Source organism: Homo sapiens, chromosome 5 (assembly GCF_000001405.40).
Source record: "Homo sapiens chromosome 5, GRCh38.p14 Primary Assembly".
Taxonomy (NCBI): Eukaryota; Metazoa; Chordata; class Mammalia; order Primates; family Hominidae; genus Homo; species Homo sapiens.
This window is the reverse complement of record NC_000005.10, coordinates 1,262,983-1,278,189: the sequence shown is the minus strand read 5'-3', so window position 1 is coordinate 1,278,189 and position 15,207 is coordinate 1,262,983. Positions and strand designations below refer to the sequence as shown.

The 15,207-nt window shown below is 56.5% G+C and overlaps 1 protein-coding gene across 4 annotated transcripts in view, besides 2 other annotated features; it reads left to right on the top strand.

Annotated features, from left to right (window-relative positions):
• The window catches only part of TERT (telomerase reverse transcriptase), a 41,902-nt gene that overhangs the window by 16,879 nt on the left and 9,816 nt on the right, over window positions 1-15,207 (top strand). For 2 of the 4 annotated variants that reach the window (NR_149163.3, NR_149162.3), the window contains exons 7-8: window positions 9,557-9,670; window positions 11,655-11,726. Coding sequence is in view for 2 of the 4 variants with exons in the window: in NM_198253.3 (NP_937983.2) it covers window positions 5,910-6,005; window positions 6,986-7,071; window positions 9,557-9,670; window positions 11,655-11,726; window positions 13,598-13,786 (557 nt within the window). In the remaining 2 variants the exon portion in view is untranslated. Of the gene's footprint in view, window positions 1-5,909; window positions 6,006-6,985; window positions 7,072-9,556; window positions 9,671-11,654; window positions 11,727-13,597; window positions 13,787-15,207 lie in introns of all 4 variants that reach the window. The other 2 variants (NM_198253.3, NM_001193376.3) reach the window with 2 other exon arrangements.
• Window positions 1,202-1,496: a silencer, noted in NCBI's record as "tiled region #13256; HepG2 Repressive non-DNase unmatched - State 21:Repr". NCBI's record gives its function as "represses a minimal TATA promoter and a strong SV40 promoter by Sharpr-MPRA in HepG2 cells {active_cell/tissue: HepG2}" and the evidence as "EXISTENCE:reporter gene assay evidence [ECO:0000049][PMID:27701403]".
• Window positions 13,366-13,983: an enhancer, noted in NCBI's record as "H3K4me1 hESC enhancer chr5:1264322-1264939 (GRCh37/hg19 assembly coordinates)". NCBI's record gives its function as "activates a minimal SCP1, AML or CMV promoter by ChIP-STARR-seq in primed H9 embryonic stem cells {active_cell/tissue: H9 hESC(primed)}" and the evidence as "EXISTENCE:reporter gene assay evidence [ECO:0000049][PMID:30033119]".

Genomic DNA, 15,207 nt, shown 5'->3' with positions numbered 1-15,207 from the left:
CAGGGTCCTCACTTCTAGCATGGGTGCCCCTGTCCTGTCACAGGGCTGGGCCTTGGAGACTGTAAGCCAGGTTTGAGAGGAGAGTAGGGATGCTGGTGGTACCTTCCTGGACCCCTGGCACCCCCAGGACCCCAGTCTGGCCTATGCCGGCTCCATGAGATATAGGAAGGCTGATTCAGGCCTCGCTCCCCGGGACACACTCCTCCCAGAGCGGCCGGGGGCCTTGGGGCTCGGCAGGGGTGAAAGGGGCCCTGGGCTTGGGTTCCCACCCAGTGGTCATGAGCACGCTGGAGGGGTAAGCCCTCAAAGTCGTGCCAGGCCGGGGTGCAGAGGTGAAGAAGTATCCCTGGAGCTTCGGTCTGGGGAGAGGCACATGTGGAAACCCACAAGGACCTCTTTCTCTGACTTCTTGAGCTATCGCAGCTACTTGCAAATCTCAGCAGAATTTTACCCTCATGGAAAGCTGATGGCCACCACCTGTGCCCAGGTGTAGAAAGTCACTAGAGCCCAGGAGACCCCCCCGTCCCCACCGCCCACCTGTGCCCGGGTGTAGAAAGTCACCAGAGCCCAGGAGACCCCCCCCCACATCCCCGCTGCAGCGGAAGCTACCGCCCCCACCGTGACCCTCGTTCCGACCTCGACCTCCATGGTCTCCCTCTCCCGGTCTCCATGTGAGTGAGATCAGGCAGGAGGTGGGTTTTGGGGTTCGAGCCTCAGCTATGCTGAACGCCTCAGCTGTGCGTTCTGTCCATGAATGGCATCCGTTGTGGAACTCGCCACGTGGATGTATCCTTCCCGCTGCTGTGGAGGCTCCTGGGTGCGGACTGCACGGCTGCGCCTGCTGTGAGCCTGCTGGGTTCTGGGAGTGTCCCAGGGGTCAGAGGCCCTCGCCTCTGGGTGAATTCCAGGGGTGGGGTTGCTGGGTCACAGACGTGCTTTAGGGATGTTGTGGGAGTTTCCAGGGGGGTGACAGTGACACCCCGGCTGGCTGCTTGTGAGGGCGATGCCTCCGGTGGCCGCTGGCCTGAAGGTGTCGAAGCCGCCTCGTGGGATTGTGCAGGGGGCTCTCTTGATGCCCACGTGCCCACAGTGTTCCCGTGCTGGCCGCCCCGGGGCTCTTGCGGGAGGTGGCTGTCCGTCCTGCCCCGCTCTGTATGGGGCGCCTGCCTGCCATCATCGGCTTGCAGGAGCTCTTTGTGTGTTCTGCTGCAAGTGTGGCATCACATGCGTGCACTGTGAATCTCTGTGCCGTGTGTGTCTTGCTTTTGTGCTCTCAAGTCAAGCCTTTTGAGGACTGGAAGATTGTACTTCTATCGCAGTCCACTAACACAGTCCAGTAACGCAGTCCACTTTATCAGCTGTTTGTGGCTAAAGCTGTTTGTGTTCTCTGCAGGAACTCAAGGTATTGAGGTTGTGGTGACGTTGCTTCTGCGCCTCCTTTTAGAACAGTCTTTACTGTGTCAGCTTGCAAACCTGGGTGGGGATTGGTGGAATTGGTTTTCATGTGTGGGGTAGGTGGGGATCTGTGGGATTGGTTTTCATGTGTGGTGTAGGTGGAGATCTGTGAATTGGTTTTCATCCGTGGGGTAGGTGGGGATCTGTGGGATTGGTTTTTATGTGTGGGGTAGGTGGGATTGGTTTTCATGTGCGGGGTAGGTGGGGATCTGTGGGATTGGTTTTCTTGTGTGGGGTAGGTGGGGATCTGTGGGATTGGTTTTTATGTGTGGGGTAGGTGGGGATATGTGAATTGGTTTTCATCCGTGGGGTAGGTGGGGATCTGTGGGATTGGTTTTTATGCGTGGGGTAGGTGGGGATCTGTGAATTGGTTTTCATCCGTGGGGTAGGTGGGGATCTGTGGGATTGGTTTTCATGTGTGGGATAGGTGGGGATCTGTGGAGTTGGTTTTCATGTGTGGTGTAGGTGGAGATCTGTGAATTGGTTTTCATCCGTGGGGTAGGTGGGGATCTGTGGGATTGGTTTCTATGTGTGGGGTAGGTGGGGACCTGTGGGATTGGTTTTTATGTGTGGGGTAGGTGGGGATCTGTGAATTGGTTTTCATCCGTGGGGTAGGTGGGGATCTGTGGGATTGGTTTTCATGTGTGGGGTAGGTGGGGATCTGTGGGATTGGTTTTCATGTGTGGGGTAGGTGGGGATCTGTGGGATTGGTTTTCATGTGTGGGGTAGGTGGGGATCTGTGGAGTTGGTTTTTATGTGTGGGGGTAGGTGGGGATCTGTGGAGTTGGTTTTCATGTGTAGGGTAGGTGGAGATCTGTGGGATTGGTTTTCATGTGTGGGGTAGGTGGGGATCTGTGGGATTGGTTTTCATGTGTGGGGTAGGTGGGGATCTGTGGGATTGGTTTTCATGTGTGGGGTAGGTGGGGATCTGTGGAGTTGGTTTTCATGTGTGGGGTAGGTGGAGATCTGTGGGATTGGTTTTCATGTGTGGGATAGGTGGGGATCTGTGGGATTGGTTTTTATGAGTGGGGTAACACAGAGTTCAAGGCGAGCTTTCTTCCTGTAGTGGGTCTGCAGGTGCTCCAACAGCTTTATTGAGGAGACCATATCTTCCTTTGAACTATGGTCGGGTTTATAGTAAGTCAGGGGTGTGGAGGCCTCCCCTGGGCTCCCTGTTCTGTTTCTTCCACTCTGGGGTCGTGTGGTGCCTGCTGTGGTGTGTGGCCGGTGGGCAGGGCTTCCAGGCCTCCTTGTGTTCATTGGCCTGGATGTGGCCCTGGCTACGCTCCGTCCTTGGAATTCCCCTGCGAGTTGGAGGCTTGCTTTCTTTCTTTTTTTCTTTCTTTTTTTTTTTTTTTGATAACAGAGTCTCGCTCTTTTTTGCCCAGGCTGGAGTGGTTTGGCGTGATCTTGGCTCACTGCAACCTGTGCTTCCTGAGTTCAAGCAATTCTCTTGCCTCAGCCTCCCAAGTAGCTGGAATTATAGGCGCCCACCACCATGCTGACTAATTTTTGTAATTTTAGTAGAGACGAGGTTTCTCCATGTTGGCCAGGCTGGTCTCGAACTCCTGACCTCAGGTGATCCTCCCACCTCGGCCTCCCAAAGTGCTGGGATGACAGGTGTGAACCGCCGCGCCCGGCCGAGACTCGCTTCCTGCAGCTTCCGTGAGATCTGCAGCGATAGCTGCCTGCAGCCTTGGTGCTGACAACCTCCGTTTTCCTTCTCCAGGTCTCGCTAGGGGTCTTTCCATTTCATGACTCTCTTCACAGAAGAGTTTCACGTGTGCTGATTTCCCGGCTGTTTCCTGCGTAATTGGTGTCTGCTGTTTATCGATGGCCTCCTTCCATTTCCTTTAGGCTTTGTTTATTGTTGTTTTTCCGGCTCCTTGAAGGAAAAGTTTCGATTATGGATGTTTGAACTTTCTTTTCTAAACAAGCATCTGAAGTTGCCGTTTTCCCTCTAAAGCAGGGATCCCGAGGCCCCTGGCTGTGGAGTGGCACCGGTCTGGGGCCTGTTAGGAACCCGGCGCACAGCGGGAGGCTAGGTGGGGTGTGGGGAGCCAGCGTTCCCGCCTGAGCCCCGCCCCTCTCAGATCAGCAGTGGCATGCGGTGCTCAGAGGCGCACACACCCTACTGAGAACTGTGCGTGAGAGGGGTCTAGATTCTGTGCTCCTTATGGGAATCTAATGCCTGATGATCTGAGGTGGAACCGTTTGCTCCCAAAACCATCCCCTTCCCCACTGCTGTCCTGTGGAAAAATCGTCTTCCACGAAACCAGTCCCTGGTACCACAATGGTTGGGGACCCTGTGCTAAAGACCTGCTTCAGCAGCCTCTCGTCAGTGTTGATATATTGGCTTTTCTGTGTTGAGTCCAGAATAATTACGGATTTCTGTGATGCTTTCCGCCGACCTCAGACCCATGGGCTATTTGTGGGCGTGTTGCCTGCTCCTGGGTTGGGAAGGGTGCAGGCCCCATGTACCTTCCTGTTACTGCCTTCCAGGTTGGTTCTCAGGGTTGAATCGTACTCGATGTGGTTTTAGCCCACGGCCCTGCCGCCAGCTCCTGGGGGCTGGGGAACATGCTGAAGCACAGAGTCACCGTGCGCGTCTTTTGATGCCTCACAAGCTCGAGGCCTCCTGTGTCCGTGTTAGTGTGTGTCACGTGCCTGCTCACATCCTGTCTTGGGGACGCAGGGGCTTAGCAGGTCCCGTAGTAAATGACAAGCGTCCTGGGGGAGTCTGCAGAATAGGAGGTGGGGGTGCCGGTCTCTCTCCCGCGTCTTCAGACTCTTCTCCTGCCTGTGCTGTGGCTGCACCTGCATCCCTGCAATCCCTCCAGCACTGGGCTGGAGAGGCCCGGGAGCTCGAGTGCCACTTGTGCCACGTGACTGTGGATGGCAGTCGGTCACGGGGGTCTGATGTGTGGTGACTGTGGATGGCGGTTGGTCACAGGGGTCTGATGTGTGGTGACTGTGGATGGCGGTCGTGGGGTCTGATGTGGTGACTGTGGATGGCGGTCGTGGGGTCTGATGTGGTGACTGTGGATGGCGGTCGTGGGGTCTGATGTGTGGTGACTGTGGATGGCGGTTGGTCCCGGGGGTCTGATGTGTGGTGACTGTGGATGGCGGTCGTGGGGTCTGATGTGGTGACTGTGGATGGCGGTCGTGGGGTCTGATGTGGTGACTGTGGATGGCGGTCGTGGGGTCTGATGTGTGGTGACTGTGGATGGCGGTTGGTCCCGGGGGTCTGATGTGTGGTGACTGTGGATGGCGATCGGTCACAGGGGTCTGATGTGTGGTGACTGTGGATGGCGGTCGTGGGGTCTGATGTGTGGTGACTGTGGATGGCGGTCGTGGGGTCTGATGTGGTGACTGTGGATGGCGGTCGTGGGGTCTGATGTGTGGTGACTGTGGATGGCGGTCGTGGGGTCTGATGTGGTGACTGTGGATGGCGGTCGTGGGGTCTGATGTGTGGTGACTGTGGATGGCGGTCGTGGGGTCTGATGTGTGGTGACTGTGGATGGCGGTCGTGGGGTCTGATGTGTGGTGACTGTGGATGGCGGTCGTGGGGTCTGATGTGGTGACTGTGGATGGCGGTCGTGGGGTCTGATGTGTGGTGACTGTGGATGGCGGTTGTGGGGTCTGATGTGTGGTGACTGTGGATGGTGATCGGTCACAGGGGTCTGATGTGTGGTGACTGTGGATGGCGGTCGTGGGGTCTGATGTGTGGTGACTGTGGATGGCGGTTGGTCCCGGGGGTCTGATGTGTGGTGACTGGATGGCGATCGGTCACAGGGGTCTGATGTGTGGTGACTGTGGATGGCGGTCGTGGGGTCTGATGTGTGGTGACTGTGGATGGCGGTCGTGGGGTCTGATGTGGTGACTGTGGATGGCGGTCGTGGGGTCTGATGTGTGGTGACTGTGGATGGCGGTCGTGGGGTCTGATGTGGTGACTGTGGATGGCGGTCGTGGGGTCTGATGTGTGGTGACTGTGGATGGCGGTCGTGGGGTCTGATGTGTGGTGACTGTGGATGGCGGTCGTGGGGTCTGATGTGTGGTGACTGTGGATGGCGGTCGTGGGGTCTGATGTGTGGTGACTGTGGATGGCGGTCGTGGGGTCTGATGTGGTGACTGTGGATGGCGGTCGTAGGGTCTGATGTGGTGACTGTGGATGGCGGTCGTGGGGTCTGATGTGGTGACTGTGGATGGTGATCGGTCACAGGGGTCTGATGTGTGGTAGCTGCAGGTGGAGTCCCAGGTGTGTCTGTAGCTACTTTGCGTCCTCGGCCCCCCGGCCCCCGTTTCCCAAACAGAAGCTTCCCAGGCGCTCTCTGGGCTTCATCCCGCCATCGGGCTTGGCCGCAGGTCCACACGTCCTGATCGGAAGAAACAAGTGCCCAGCTCTGGCCGGGGCAGGCCACATTTGTGGCTCATGCCCTCTCCTCTGCCGGCAGGTCTCTACCTTGACAGACCTCCAGCCGTACATGCGACAGTTCGTGGCTCACCTGCAGGAGACCAGCCCGCTGAGGGATGCCGTCGTCATCGAGCAGGTCTGGGCACTGCCCTGCAGGGTTGGGCACGGACTCCCAGCAGTGGGTCCTCCCCTGGGCAATCACTGGGCTCATGACCGGACAGACTGTTGGCCCTGGGGGGCAGTGGGGGGAATGAGCTGTGATGGGGGCATGATGAGCTGTGTGCCTTGGCGAAATCTGAGCTGGGCCATGCCAGGCTGCGACAGCTGCTGCATTCAGGCACCTGCTCACGTTTGACTGCGCGGCCTCTCTCCAGTTCCGCAGTGCCTTTGTTCATGATTTGCTAAATGTCTTCTCTGCCAGTTTTGATCTTGAGGCCAAAGGAAAGGTGTCCCCCTCCTTTAGGAGGGCAGGCCATGTTTGAGCCGTGTCCTGCCCAGCTGGCCCCTCAGTGCTGGGTCTGAGGCCAAAGGAAACGTGTCCCCCTTCTTAGGAGGACGGGCCGTGTTTGAGCCACGCCCCGCTGAGCGGGCCTCTCAGTGCTGGGTCTGTCCACGTGGCCCTGTGGCCCTTTGCAGATGTGGTCTGTCCACGTGGCCCTGTGGCTCTTTGCAGATGCCTGTTAGCACTTGCTCGGCTCTAGGGGACAGTCGTGTCCACCGCATGAGGCTCAGAGACCTCTGGGCGAATTTCCTTGGCTCCCAGGGTGGGGGTGGAGGTGGCCTGGGCTGCTGGGACCCAGACCCTGTGCCCGGCAGCTGGGCAGCAACTCCTGGATCACATATGCCATCCGGGCCACGGTGGGCTGTGTGGGTGTGAGCCCAGCTGGACCCACAGGTGGCCCAGAGGAGACATTCTGTGTCACACACTCTGCCTAAGCCCATGTGTGTCTGCAGAGACTCGGCCCGGCCAGCCCACGATGGCCCTGCATTCCAGCCCAGCCCCGCACTTCATCACAAACACTGACCCCAAAAGGGACGGAGGGTCTTGGCCACGTGGTCCTGCCTGTCTCAGCACCCACCGGCTCACTCCCATGTGTCTCCCGTCTGCTTTCGCAGAGCTCCTCCCTGAATGAGGCCAGCAGTGGCCTCTTCGACGTCTTCCTACGCTTCATGTGCCACCACGCCGTGCGCATCAGGGGCAAGTGAGTCAGGTGGCCAGGTGCCATTGCCCTGCGGGTGGCTGGGCGGGCTGGCAGGGCTTCTGCTCACCTCTCTCCTGCCCCTTCCCCACTGCCCTTCTGCCCGGGGCCACCAGAGTCTCCTTTTCTGGCCCCCGCCCCCTCCGGCTCCTGGGCTGCAGGCTCCCGAGGCCCCGGAAACATGGCTCGGCTTGCGGCAGCCGGAGCGGAGCAGGTGCCACACGAGGCCTGGAAATGGCAAGCGGGGTGTGGAGTTGCTCCTGCGTGGAGGACGAGGGGCGGGGGGTGTGTCTGGGTCAGGTGTGCGCCGAGCGTTTGAGCCTGCAGCTTGTCAGCTCCAAGTTACTACTGACGCTGGACACCCGGCTCTCACACGCTTGTATCTCTCTCTCCCGATACAAAAGGATTTTATCCGATTCTCATTCCTGTCCCTGTCGTGTGACCCCCGCGAGGGCGCGGGCTCTTCTCTCTGTGACTAGATTTCCCATCTGGAAAGTGCGGGGTTGACCGTGTAGTTTGCTCCTCTCGGGGGGCCTGTGGTGGCCATGGGGCAGGCGGCCTGGGAGAGCTGCCGTCACACAGCCACTGGGTGAGCCACACTCACGGTGGTAGAGCCACAGTGCCTGGTGCCACATCACGTCCTCTGGATTTTAAGTAAAACCACACACCTCCCGGCAGGCATCTGCCTGCGACCCTGTGTGTGCCTGGGGAGAGTGGTAGCACGGAGGAAATTCGTGCACACTCAAGGTCATCAGCAAGGTCATCCGCAGTCAGGTGGAACGTGGAGGCCTCTCTCTGGGATCGTCTCCAGCGGATAAAGGACTGTGCACAGCTTCGGAAGCTTTTATTTAAAAATATAACTATTAATTATTGCATTATAAGTAATCACTAATGGTATCAGCAATTATAATATTTATTAAAGTATAATTAGAAATATTAAGTAGTACACACGTTCTGGAAAAACACAAATTGCACATGGCAGCAGAGTGAATTTTGGCCGAGGGACACGTGTGCACATGTGTGTAAGCGGCCCCCAGGCCCACAGAATTCGCTGACAAAGTCACCTCCCCAGAGAAGCCACCACGGGCCTCCTTCGTGGTCGTGAATTTTATTAAGATGGATCAAGTCACGTACCGTCCACGTGTGGCAGGGCTTTGGGGAATGTGAGGTGATGACTGCGTCCTCATGCCCTGACAGACAGGAGGTGACTGTGTCTGTCCTGTCCCTAGGACACGGACAGGCCCGAAGCTCTAGTCCCCATCGTGGTCCAGTTTGGCCTCTGAATAAAAACGTCTTCAAAACCTGTTGCCCCAAAAACTAAGAACAGAGAGAGTTTCCCATCCCATGTGCTCACAGGGGCGTATCTGCTTGCGTTGACTCGCTGGGCTGGCCGGACTCCTAGAGTTGGTGCGTGTGCTTCTGTGCAAAAAGTGCAGTCCTCTTGCCCATCACTGTGATATCTGCACCAGCAAGGAAAGCCTCTTTTCTTTTCTTTCTTTTTTTTTTTTTGAGACGGAACGTCACTGTTGTCTGCCTGGGCTTGAGTGCAGTGGCGCGATCTCAACTCACTGCAACCTCCGCCTCCCGGGTTCCAGCATTTCTCCTGCCTCAGCCTCCCGAGCAGCTGAGATTACAGGCACCCACCCCCTGCGCCTGGCTAATTTTTGTATTTTTAGTAGAGAGGGGTTTTTGCCATGTTGGCCAGGCTGGTCTCGAACTCCTGACCTCAGGTGATCCACCCACCTCGGCCTCCCAAAGTGCTGGGATTACAGGTGTGAGCCATCACGCCCAGCCGGAAAGCCTCTTTTTAAGGTGACCACCTATAGCGCTTCCCGAAAATAACAGGTCTTGTTTTTGCAGTAGGCTGCAAGCGTCTCTTAGCAACAGGAGTGGCGTCCTGTGGGCTCTGGGGATGGCTGAGGGTCGCGTGGCAGCCATGCCTTCTGTGTGCACCTTTAGGTTCCACGGGGCTATTCTGCTCTCACTGTTTGTCTGAAAACGCACCCTTGGCATCCTTGTTTGGAGAGTTTCTGCTTCTCGTTGGTCATGCTGAAACTAGGGGCAAGGTTGTATCCGTTGGCGCGCAGCGGCTACATGTAGGGTCATGAGTCTTTCACCGTGGACAAATTCCTTGAAAAAAAAAAAAGGAGTCCGGTTAAGCATTCATTCCGGGTCAAGTGTCTGGTTCTGTGAATAAACTCTAAGATTTAAGAAACCTTAATGAAAGAAAACCTTGATGATTCAGAGCAAGGATGTGGTCACACCTGTGGCTGGATCTGTTTCAGCCGCCCCAGTGCATGGTGAGAGTGGGGAGCAGGGATTGTTTGTTCAGAGGTCTCATCTGGTATGTTTCTGAGGTGTTTGCCGGCTGAATGGTAGACGTGTCGTTTGTGTGTATGAGGTTCTGTGTCTGTGTGTGGCTCGGTTTGAGTGTACGCATGTCCAGCACATGCCCTGCCCGTCTCTCACCTGTGTCTTCCCGCCCCAGGTCCTACGTCCAGTGCCAGGGGATCCCGCAGGGCTCCATCCTCTCCACGCTGCTCTGCAGCCTGTGCTACGGCGACATGGAGAACAAGCTGTTTGCGGGGATTCGGCGGGACGGGTGAGGCCTCCTCTTCCCCAGGGGGGCTTGGGTGGGGGTTGATTTGCTTTTGATGCATTCAGTGTTAATATTCCTGGTGCTCTGGAGACCATGACTGCTCTGTCTTGAGGAACCAGACAAGGTTGCAGCCCCTTCTTGGTATGAAGCCGCACGGGAGGGGTTGCACAGCCTGAGGACTGCGGGCTCCACGCAGGCTCTGTCCAGCGGCCATGTCCAGAGGCCTCAGGGCTCAGCAGGCGGGAGGGCCGCTGCCCTGCATGATGAGCATGTGAATTCAACACCGAGGAAGCACACCAGCTTCTGTCACGTCACCCAGGTTCCGTTAGGGTCCTTGGGGAGATGGGGCTGGTGCAGCCTGAGGCCCCACATCTCCCAGCAGGCCCTCGACAGGTGGCCTGGACTGGGCGCCTCTTCAGCCCATTGCCCATCCCACTTGCATGGGGTCTACACCCAAGGACGCACACACCTAAATATCGTGCCAACCTAATGTGGTTCAACTCAGCTGGCTTTTATTGACAGCAGTTACTTTTTTTTTTTTAATACTTTAAGTTCTAGGGTACATGTGCACGACGTGCAGGTTAGTTACATATGTATACATGTGCCATGTTGGTGTGCTGCACCCATTAACTCATCATTTACATTAGGTATATCTCCTAATGCTATCCCTCCCCACTCCCCCCATCCCATGACAGGCCCTGGTGTGTGATGTTCCCCACCCTGTGTCCAAGTGTTCTCATTGTTCAGTTCCCACCTGTGAGTGAGAACATGTGGTGTTTGGTTTTCTTTCCTTGCAATAGTTTGCTCAGAGTGATGGTTTCCAGCTTCGTCCATGTCCCTACAAAGGACATGAACTCATCCTTTTTTATGACTGCATAGTATTCCGTGGTGTATATGTGCCACATTTTCTTAATCCAGTCTATCATCGATGGACATTTGGGTTGGTTGCAAGTCTTTGCTACTGTGAATAGTGCCGCAATAAACATACGTGTGCATGTGTCTTTATAGCAGCATGATTTATAATCCTTTGGGTATATACCCAGTAATGGGATGGCTGGGTCAAATGGTATTTCTAGTTCTAGATCCTTGAGGAATCACCACACTGTCTTCCACAATGGTTGAACTAGTTTACACTCCCACCAACAGTGTAAAAGTGTTCTGGTGCTGGAGAGGATGTGGACAGCAGTTATTTTTTTATGAAAATAGTATCACTGAACAAGCAGACAGTTAGTGAAGGATGCGTCAGGAAGCCTGCAGGCCACACAGCCATTTCTCTCGAAGACTCCGGGTTTTTCCTGTGCATCTTTTGAAACTCTAGCTCCAATTATAGCATGTACAGTGGATCAAGGTTCTTCTTCATTAAGGTTCAAGTTCTAGATTGAAATAAGTTTATGTAACAGAAACAAAAATTTCTTGTACACACAACTTGCTCTGGGATTTGGAGGAAAGTGTCCTCGAGCTGGCGGCACACTGGTCAGCCCTCTGGGACAGGATACCTCTGGCCCATGGTCATGGGGCGCTGGGCTTGGGCCTGAGGGTCACACAGTGCACCATGCCCAGCTTCCTGTGGATAGGATCTGGGTCTCGGATCATGCTGAGGACCACAGCTGCCATGCTGGTAAAGGGCACCACGTGGCTCAGAGGGGGCGAGGTTCCCAGCCCCAGCTTTCTTACCGTCTTCAGTTATTTTTCCCTAAGAGTCTGAGAAGTGGGGCCGCGCCTGATGGCCTTCGTTCGTCTTCAGCTGGCACAGAATTGCACAAGCTGATGGTAAACACTGAGTACTTATAATGAATGAGGAATTGCTGTAGCAGTTAACTGTAGAGAGCTCGTCTGTTGGAAAGAAATTTAAGTTTTTCATTTAACCGCTTTGGAGAATGTTACTTTATTTATGGCTGTGTAAATTGTTTGACATTCAGTCCCTCGTAGACAGATACTACGTAAAAAGTGTAAAGTTAACCTTGCTGTGTATTTTCCCTTATTTTAGGCTGCTCCTGCGTTTGGTGGATGATTTCTTGTTGGTGACACCTCACCTCACCCACGCGAAAACCTTCCTCAGGTGAGGCCCGTGCCGTGTGTCTGTGGGGACCTCCACAGCCTGTGGGCTTTGCAGTTGAGCCCCCCGTGTCCTGCCCCTGGCACCGCAGCGTTGTCTCTGCCAAGTCCTCTCTCTCTGCCGGTGCTGGATCCGCAAGAGCAGAGGCGCTTGGCCGTGCACCCAGGCCTGGGGGCGCAGGGGCACCTTCGGGAGGGAGTGGGTACCGTGCAGGCCCTGGTCCTGCAGAGACGCACCCAGGTTACACACGTGGTGAGTGCAGGCGGTGACCTGGCTCCTGCTGCTCTTTGGAAAGTCAAGAGTGGCGGCTCCTGGGGCCCCAGTGAGACCCCCAGGAGCTGTGCACAGGGCCTGCAGGGCCGAGGCGGCAGCCTCCTCCCCAGGGTGCACCTGAGCCTGCGGAGAGCAGGAGCTGCTGAGTGAGCTGGCCCACAGCGTTCGCTGCGGTCACGTTCCTGCGTGGGGTTGTTTGGGATCGGTGGGAGAATTTGGATTTGCTGAGTGCTGCTGTCTTGAACCACGGAGATGGCTAGGAGTGGGTTTCAGAGTTGATTTTTGTGAATCAAACTAAAATCAGGCACAGGGGACCTGGCCTCAGCACAGGGGATTGTCCAATGTGGTCCCCCTCAAGGGCGCCCCACAGAGCCGGTGGGCTTGTTTTAAAGTGCGATTTGACGAGGGACGAGAAACCTTGAAAGCTGTAAAGGGAACCCTCAGAAAATGTGGCCGCCAGGGGTGGTTTCAGGTGCTTTGCTGGGCTGTGTTTGTGAAAACCCATTTGGACCCGCCCTCCAAGTCCACCCTCCAGGTCCACCCTCCAGGGCCGCCCTGGGCTGGGGGTATGCCTGGCGTTCCTTGTGCCGCAGCCCGGAGCACAGCAGGCTGTGCACATTTAAATCCACTAAGATTCACTCGGGGGGAGCCCAGGTCCCAAGCAACTGAGGGCTCAGGAGTCCTGAGGCTGCTGAGGGGACAGAGCAGACGGGGAACGCTGCTTCTGTGTGGCAAGTTCCTGAGGGTGCTGGCCAGGGAGGTGGCTCAGAGTGTATGTTGGGGTCCCACCGGGGGCAGAACTCTGTCTCTGATGAGTCGGCAGCCATGTAACAGGAAGGGGTGGCCACAGGGAGCTGGGAATGCACCAGGGGAGCTGCGCAGCTGGCCGAGGTCCCAGGGCCAGGCCACAGGAAGGGCAGGGGGACGCCCGGGGCCACAGCAGAGGCCGCAGGAAGGGAAGGGGATGCCCAGGCCAGAGCAGAGGCTACCGGGCACAGGGGGGCTCCCTGAGCTGGGTGAGCGAGGCTCATGACTCGGCGAGGGAACCTCCTTGACGTGAAGCTGACGACTGGTGTTGCCCAGCTCACAGCCCAGCCAGGTCCCGCGCCTGAGCAGGAACTCAGAACCCTCCCCTTTGTCTAAAGCACAGCAGATGCCTTCAGGGCATCTAGGAGAAAACAGGCAAAGTCGTTGAGAAACGTCTTAAAAGAAGGTGGGATGGTGGCAATTTCTTGTCCAGATTTTAGTCTGCCCCGGACCACAGATGAGTCTATAACGGGATTGTGGTGTTGCCATGGGGACACATGAGATGGACCATCACAGAGGCCACTGGGGCTGCACCTCCCATCTGAGTCCTGGCTGTCCCGGGTCCAGGCCAGGTTCTTGCATGCTCACCTACCTGTCCTGCCCGGGAGACAGGGAAAGCACCCCGAAGTCTGGAGCAGGGCTGGGTCCAGGCTCCTCAGAGCTCCTGCCAGGCCCAGCACCCTGCTCCAAATCACCACTTCTCTGGGGTTTTCCAAAGCATTTAACAAGGGTGTCAGGTTACCTCCTGGGTGACGGCCCCGCATCCTGGGGCTGACATTGCCCCTCTGCCTTAGGACCCTGGTCCGAGGTGTCCCTGAGTATGGCTGCGTGGTGAACTTGCGGAAGACAGTGGTGAACTTCCCTGTAGAAGACGAGGCCCTGGGTGGCACGGCTTTTGTTCAGATGCCGGCCCACGGCCTATTCCCCTGGTGCGGCCTGCTGCTGGATACCCGGACCCTGGAGGTGCAGAGCGACTACTCCAGGTGAGCGCACCTGGCCGGAAGTGGAGCCTGTGCCCGGCTGGGGCAGGTGCTGCTGCAGGGCCGTTGCGTCCACCTCTGCTTCCGTGTGGGGCAGGCGACTGCCAATCCCAAAGGGTCAGAGGCCACAGGGTGCCCCTCGTCCCATCTGGGGCTGAGCAGAAATGCATCTTTCTGTGGGAGTGAGGGTGCTCACAACGGGAGCAGTTTTCTGTGCTATTTTGGTAAAAGGAAATGGTGCACCAGACCTGGGTGCACTGAGGTGTCTTCAGAAAGCAGTCTGGATCCGAACCCAAGACGCCCGGGCCCTGCTGGGCGTGAGTCTCTCCAAACCCGAAACACAGGGGCCCTGCTGGGCATGAGTCCCTCTGAACCCGAGACCCTGGGGCCCTGCTGGGCGTGAGTCTCTCCGAACCCAGAGACTTCAGGGCCCTTTTGGGCGTGAGTCTCTCCGCTGTGAGCCCCACACTCCAAGGCTCATCCACAGTCTACAGGATGCCATGAGTTCATGATCACGTGTGACCCATCAGGGGACAGGGCCATGGTGTGGGGGGGGTCTCTACAAAATTCTGGGGTCTTGTTTCCCCAGAGCCCGAGAGCTCAAGGCCCCGTCTCAGGCTCAGACACAAATGAATTGAAGATGGACACAGATGCAGAAATCTGTGCTGTTTCTTTTATGAATAAAAAGTATCAACATTCCAGGCAGGGCAAGGTGGCTCACACCTATAATCCCAGCACTTTGGGAGGCCGAGGTGGGTGGATCACTTGAGGCCAGGAGTTTGAGGCCAACCTAACCAACATAGTGAAATTCCATTTCTACTTAAAAAATACAAAAATTAGCCTGGCCTGGTGGCACACGCCTGTAGTCCCCGCTATGCGGGAGGCTGAGGCAGGAGAATCATTTGAACCCAGGAGGCAGAGGTTGCAGTGAGCCGAGATCACACCACTGCACTCCAGCCTGGGCAACAGAGTGAGACTTCATCTTAAAAAAAAAAAAAAAAGTATCAGCATTCCAAAACCATAGTGGACAGGTGTTTTTTTATTCTGTCCTTCGATAATATTTACTGGTGCTGTGCTAGAGGCCGGAACTGGGGGTGCCTTCCTCTGAAAGGCACACCTTCATGGGAAGAGAAATAAGTGGTGGATGGTTGTTAAACCAGAGGTTTAAACTGGGGTCCTGTCGTTCTGAGTTAACAGTCCAGATCTGGACTTTGCCTCTTTCCAGAATGCTCCCTGGGGTTTGCTTCATGGGGGAGCAGCAGGTGTGGACACCCTCGTGATGGGGGAGCAGCAGGTGCAGACGCCCTCATGATGGGGGAGTGGCAGGTGCAGACACCCTTGTGCATGGTGCCCAGCATGTCCCTGTTGCAGCTCCCTCCCCACAAGGATGCCGGTCTCCTGTGCTCCCCACAGTCCCTGCTTCC